General features: G+C 37.1%; 1 long non-coding RNA gene across 1 annotated transcript in view; it reads right to left on the bottom strand.

Moving 5' to 3' along the window:
• Positions 1 to 418: 418 nt before the first annotated feature.
• LOC102724289 (uncharacterized) overlaps positions 419 to 7,042 on the bottom strand; it is a 28,975-nt gene continuing 22,351 nt past the window's right edge. Inside the window, exons 3-4 of the long non-coding RNA XR_924590.3 lie at positions 1,622 to 1,718; positions 419 to 1,468 (exon numbers count right to left, since the gene is read on the bottom strand). This is a non-coding gene — a long non-coding RNA (uncharacterized LOC102724289). The remainder of the gene's footprint in view (positions 1,469 to 1,621; positions 1,719 to 7,042) is intronic.

Here is a 7,042-nt window from a genome sequence, read left to right as displayed (position 1 = left end):
AGAATATCTTGAAAGAAGTTACTGTTTTAAAAGCTACAAAGAGCTCCAATAGTACAATGTCTTAAAAGTCTTCACGGCATCTGGAAGGCTGTTGGTGGTCTTATAGAGAACTATGTTAATACAACGTGAGAAATAAATAAAGTTTCCAGTGGGCTGGAATAAACATGTGAGGTAAGAAAATTAGCTATAGCCAGTGCAGTTCTCCAAGTTTTGTAAACAGATAATAAGAAGTTGGGCCATAGTTGGAGGGGAACACAGGCAAGGTTTCACTAGATTAGGAAAGACACCAATAGGGAAACTACACAAACACACACACTATGAGTTATATATACAAATATATATTAAATACACACACACACACAAGTACACACTTACTTATTAGGCTAGTGCAAAAGTAATTGCGGTTTCAGACCGTGAATTTTAAATCATTATAACTAGGCTCAAACACATCTTTATTAATCAAAATAGGAACCATTATAATCAACAAATTTTTGCCAGTGAGAAATAAGTTTGTTTATTCCTGTAGCTAACAATCTATGGTTCAGGATTAAATGAACCCTTGGAAAGCATTTTCTGCATCCTGCTGGTTGTGGAAGCATTTTCCCTGCAAAAAGTTGTGCTGTCGAGATGCTTAAAAAAGTGGTGATCAGTTGGTGAGAGATCAGGCAAATATGGCAGATGAGGCAAAACTTCGTTCAACTTTTGAAGCATTAGTTTTGCAACACGCGGTTGGGAGAAGAATTGGACCCTTTCTGTTGACCAATGCCAGCTGCAGGCATTGCAGTTTTCAGTGCATCTCATCTATTTGCTGAGCATACTTCTCAGATGTAATGGTTTTGCCAGGATTCAGAAAGCTGTAGTGGATCGGAGTGGCAGCAGACCACCCAACAGTGATCATGACCTTTTTTTGTGGTGCAAATTTGGCTTTTGGAAGTGCTTTGGAGTGTCTTCTCAGTCCAACCACTGAGCTGGTCATTGCCCATTGTCATATAAAATCTACTTTTCATCGTACGTCACAATCCAATCATGAGATAGTTCACCGTTGTGAAGAACAAGAGAAGACAAAACTTCAAAATGACGATTTTTTTCTTCTCACTCAGCTCATGCAGCACCCATGTATGGAGCTTTCTCACCTTTCCAATTTGCTTCAAATGCCGAACAACCATAGGAAGGTCGACACTGAGTTCTTTGGCAACTTCTCGTGTAGTTGTAAGAGGATCAGCTTCAAATATTGCTCTCAATTGGTCGTTGTCAACTTCTGATGGCCGGCCACTATGCTCCTTATCTTCAAGGCTATTGTCTCCTTTGCAAAACTTCTTGAACCGCCATTGAACTAAGAGTTGGTTAGCAGTTCCCAGGCCAAATGCATTGTTATGTTGCCAGTTGTCCCCACTGCTTTAAGACCCATTTTGAACTCAAATAAGAAAATCGCTCAAATTTGCTTTTTCTCCAACATCATTTCCATAGTCTAAAATAAACATAAAATAAGCAGCAAAAAAACATAAAGTAAGAAATGCCCGTTAAATTGATGTATAACATAACCACATTTATTTAAGAATGGATTCCAATATCAAACGGCAAATTCCAACAATGCAAAACCCAGAATTACTTTTGTACCAACCTAATATCTTCTTGGGCCAGTACTCCTGGGCTTAAGTCTTATCAGTTTTTTGTGCCAGGACAATTTGTATAACTTCTCTGTGCCTCCTTTATTCTGTCTGTAAAATATGGATAATGGAATAATAATGGAAAGTACTTATTGGAATTGTTGTAAGGATTAAATGAGTTAATGGGTGGAAAGAACATAGAACAGATACTGGTACACAATAAGCAATAAGTAAATGTTAGCTATCATTACAGCAAAAATAATCCATCTTAGAGAGCTTTTACAATTCACTTAGAAACCTCTTCTTTCAAGGCTGCTCAAGTGTGTAGGTGGAGAAGGATGCCAGCACTCATACAAATACGTCATTACCTCTATTCCTTAATAATGGACAGTACTCTTGGTGCCAAAAATACTTTTGACAGGCTGACAGAGCATTAAGCATTGATTTTCTGGCTTTCCTGTAGGTCTTTTTCCTCACAAGTTATTTCTTTTCCTCACAACTCTAGGTCCTCAGCTGTCTTTGTAATATAATTAGTCTGACATGCATTCTCTTTGACTCCTGGAAGTGTTACTTCTCAGTGGCATGGTGGGCATGACATCATTATCACAGAGGTACACGTGCTTCATTCTGGAGCTGGCCATTATTGATGGCACCTGCCCAGGACTCGATCTTTCTGCAATACATCTAAACTCATTTCTCATAAATGTTGGATACCCACTCTATAGAATATGAAGAAATTTAAAAATGTATGAAGAATTATTAAGGACAAAATGCATAAAAGATGTTGTAGTAAAAATCAGAAAGCAAAAATTCATCCACACTATAATTTCAACTCTGAAAATGTATGCATATATTTATTCATGTTCTGCTTAAAAACACAGACTGGAAGGAAAAACACCGACAACTTAAACTTATATATATCTGAATGGTATGGTTTAATTTTCTCTATTCTTTTTCAAATATTTACAGAGGTCTTTTGTTACTTTACAATTAAAGAAAAAGTTTTATTTTGTAGGCTGGATATTCAGAAAAGTTACTGACATTCAAAACCATCCTCCTTTGTATTGTTCCCAGGCAACGTTGTAGCCAACTTCCATGCTCTCAGAGCAAAGCTTTTGTGAAAGTCCATTCTGAAAAGTTCCCATGGCAATCCAAATCCTAAGCCATTTAAAAAGAAAAGTATTACCCATTTCTTCTGGTCTTACTTAAAGTGACTATATTTTTTGGTTTTGACTTTCTTTCATACAACAAATATTTGTGTGCCTATAATGTGCCAGTCTTTATTCCCTGCAAATAAAGCAGGGAACAATACAGGCATTAATTCCTGTCTTCACAGAGCATTACACCACAGGATATATTTAACTCTTAATTTTCTTATAATAGAATATTTGTCATTTAACTAAGGAGGGACACTGTGATGTAGAGGAACACTCCTTCATCTCTATCACCTAGTACATACACCTCACAGCCCTGTCTATGCCACCATCATTCTCCCTCTAGTTGACCCTGTCATTTCTGTCCAATGACCACCTGTCTCTGGGGTTCTCTGTCAGGGTTTCTGTTGACTCTTAGTGCACAACTGGTTGTTCTAGTGTGGGGAGTATCTAGTGATCAAGAAAGAAAAAGATAAAATAACTATCAAATGTCAAGCTTATTATTTCATGTAATTCTTACAGTTTCATGGAAAAGGCAATATTAACTGCCTCTTATAGATGAGGAAACTAGTTTAGTGAGCTGAAAATTTAGTGAGCTCTTTCCATCCTTCATTTATTTATTTTTCTATTAATTGACTCAACACATATTTGTAGAGTACCTAGGTGCTAGGGTTAAAATGAGGAGTGAAAATAGATCATAAGCTCAAACATGGGAAGATAGGGTAAATAATTTTGTGAAGAGAATAGAGAGGCAGACAAGTTCTGCCTGAGGAGTCTGAGGGGTCCTCCAGGGAACCCTACCTATGGGGCAGGGAGAGAAAGAACAACAGGCTCATAGGGCTCAGAAAAGGGAAATTTCCAGGATATTCTTTGCCTCCTTATTTTTTCTCAGGATCCTGCCTCTAAAGTTAGTCACCATCCTAACTCTGATTTTTATTTTTAAACAATTCTTTGGCATAATTTTATTTAGCTACAATAAAATTCATTCATTTTAATTAGTGAATGAGTTTTAATGGATGAGTTTTGGCAAATGTATATAACCATGTAACCAAGCCCCCAGTCAAAATATAGAACATTTCCATCAGCCCAGAAAGTTTTCTACTGCCGTTGACGTTCCTCAGCCCCTAAACACTCACTGACTTAACGTCTACCACTCTAGATAGATTTTGCAAGGCTTCCAGCCAGCCCCCAGGTGGATACCTATCCATGGTGACTGTAATGTCTCATTGTCTGTGACTTTGCCCAGATTCTTGGCCACTCACTCAGTTTCTTGGAAAAAGTACAATCATTAAAATCAATGGCACTATTTCTGGCATTGTAAAGCTACAGAAGTCACTTTCCACAAGTACCTACAGAACCCATTATCCTACAGGTGGAGACTTCTTAGAGGCTGAGCCAAAACTGAGCCTGGCTCCACAACCCTAGCTTCTGGGAATGTGGCTGAGCTGATTAAGGAGGTCTTCTCCCTTTTGTTTCTAGGAATGATAGTCACAATTGCCCAAATAAGAACTCTCATATGTTTGAAATTATGTTGAATGCTGAGTGCTGAGGTTGTTTAACTTTCTCGTAAGAATTATAATAAAAAATTTATAAGTGTTTTAGTATTCAAAAAATTGATCTACTCAATGATTTTCTGTCCTGGAGTATCACTCACAGTCCTAGAGGTCTTAATATATTGGTAATTGTTACAGAAGAAACATCTGCTAATTAATAGGCAAGTGTGTATGTTTACCTACTGAGACATAACAGTAGAGATATCAGATATTCTTACCATAAGGTCCTCTGCTAGGAAATACTTAAAATTCATATACCTGCCTTCTCTAATATTTTCTTTATGGGAAGTACATGGGATACCCTTGTATCTTCTGAGACAAAGAAGGGGGAATTATTAGAATTCACCAGATTACCTTACTTCTATTCAGTCTCCAAACCTATACTCCTTTATGGAATTAACACTTACAAGGAACACAAGCTAAAAAGAAAAAAAATCTGGAGATTTTTTGGGTTTGTTCAGTTAGTAATGCTGATAATATAAAATTTTATCAGTTCCAGGAAGCAGTTCTTTCCCTTATTGTTTTTTCAATCTATATAAGAGTAGATCCTTTCTACTAACCTTTAGAGCTGTAATATTCGTTCTTCTGGTATAGAAAACTGCAATGAACCCTTATGCTTCAAAAATGCTTAGAGCTTCAAGAATTGTCAAATCCCAGGCAATCTTTGTAAGCCTATATTCTGAGCTCAAAATTGAAATGAGCAGAGAGTTAGGATGTTAGCACCATGTATCTAGTAGATTTACAAGAAGACCAAAGCCCTCTATTTCCAGCCCAACCTTAAAAAAAAAAAGAAAAAGAAAAAAACACCCTATTTCTCTCTAAGAGTATTACAAGTACATCTGGAAAAAGCAAAATGAGACAAAAGAGGAGGAGACAGAGATGCAATCAAAGAAATCTCCAGTATTCTGGATTCCACATGCCTCTTCTAAACCAGTCCTAGAATCTATGGGATATTAAGAGTTTTTCCAGGCAGAAGGCATCATTCCTTGACAGCTCCAGGTAAATTCCTAAGGCTTCCCATTTGAAATTTAGTTCTATTTCTTTTTCCTCCCATAATATTCTTTACTCTTTATTTACTACGACAATGAATATGGAATTGTCAATGTGTTCTAATTAATGACATGTTTCCAATGGGAGCCCGGTTATCTGTGTCTTTATCGCTCCTCTTTGCTTCTCTCTGGAATTCTGATTCTTGCTTTACTCTTTCTTAGGCCACAGATAAGATGGATTTGGAAAGGCAAGTGGGGGAAAACAAATGGTAAATCGCATTTGAATACACTGCTAAGCCTTTGCAATTTGTCAGGATATAAGGAGCCAAACACTTTGAAGCAATGAAGTAACATCCGCATTTACTGTTGTGATCATCTTTAAGAAAGATCACATAGGGAAGCATAAAGACCACAGAGAAAGATACATGAGACCCTGTTTTATTCTTTGAGTATGTATTATTTATATTTATTTTTCTGTCTTTACTTTTTTTTTCTTTTTATAATCCACTTCGGACGGATGGAGAGACAGAGAGCGAGAGAGAGAGAGAGAAAGCGGTGGGGGGTGGGGGGGGAGAGAGAGAGAGAGATAAGATGACATCTTATTAGGGAAGACTGGAGGATCTTTTTAGGAAGAATGTATTAGTTTGCTCAGCCTGCCATAACAAAATACTATAGTCTGGGTGGCTTAAACAACAGAAATTTATTTTGTTACTCTTCTGGAGGCTACGAGTCCAAGATCAAGATGTTGACAAGGTTGGTTTCTTCTGAGTCCTGTCTTCTTGGCTTGCAGATGGCCAGCTTCTCACTGTAGCCTCACGTGGTCTTTCTTCTGTGTGCATGCATCTCTTGTGTCTCTTTGTATGTCCAAATTTTCTTTTTTCATAAGGACATCAGTCAGATTAGATTCAGGCCCCCCCATTGGCCTCTTTAAAGGCCCTATTTTCAAGTACAGTTACATGTTGAAGTATTGGGAGTTGGGACTTCACATATTAATTTTAAGGAGAACACAATCCAGTCCATAGCAAAAGGTATAATGCCTTTGTTAGAGAAGACAAGAATATGCAGTGATGGTGGTGATAGGAAAAAAATGGATTACAGATAATTTTCTAATGTAGATTAAGATAATTTAATGATTGATCTGACATGGAAGGTGAGGTACAGGAAGAGTTGAGAATGCCTCCAAGTTTTCTAGCTTAGGCAGCTAGATATACAGCTGTAAAATTAACTAAAATTTAAAAAATACTGGACAAAAGACAGGTTTGGGAGTAAATCAGGATATTTATTAATTCACCACATATGTAGCAAGTTTTGACTACATCTCTAGCACTTCTCTAGAAAAAAATCTTCCCCAAACATCATCAAGTTTACACTCAAGAGTTCTCTGAACATGTAACACTTGTATCTAATAGATACATGTAACACAGTATCTATTAGATACTGAAAAGATTGGAAACCGTAAAGTAGGGACGTTCAGTAAGCAGTTAAACATATAAACCCAAAACTCAGGAATTGGGTCAGCGATGCAGATATTAATTTGGCAGTAAGAGTATATCTACCACTAAAGCCATAAATCTGAGTGAGTTCACCTGAGAAGCATGAATACTGAGAACCAGTCTCTGAATTCGGCAAACACATATGGGTTATAAAGAAGAGGAAAGACTAGTAAAGGAGATGGAAAAACAAATCAGCCAGCAAAGCAGGAGGAAAACAAATGACTTCAGTTTTGACTATGTCCAGCT

The sequence above is a fragment of the Homo sapiens genome, chromosome 3 (genome assembly GCF_000001405.40).
Source record: "Homo sapiens chromosome 3, GRCh38.p14 Primary Assembly".
In the NCBI taxonomy this organism is placed as follows: domain Eukaryota; kingdom Metazoa; phylum Chordata; class Mammalia; order Primates; family Hominidae; genus Homo; species Homo sapiens.
This window is presented reverse-complemented; position numbering and strand designations above follow the sequence as displayed.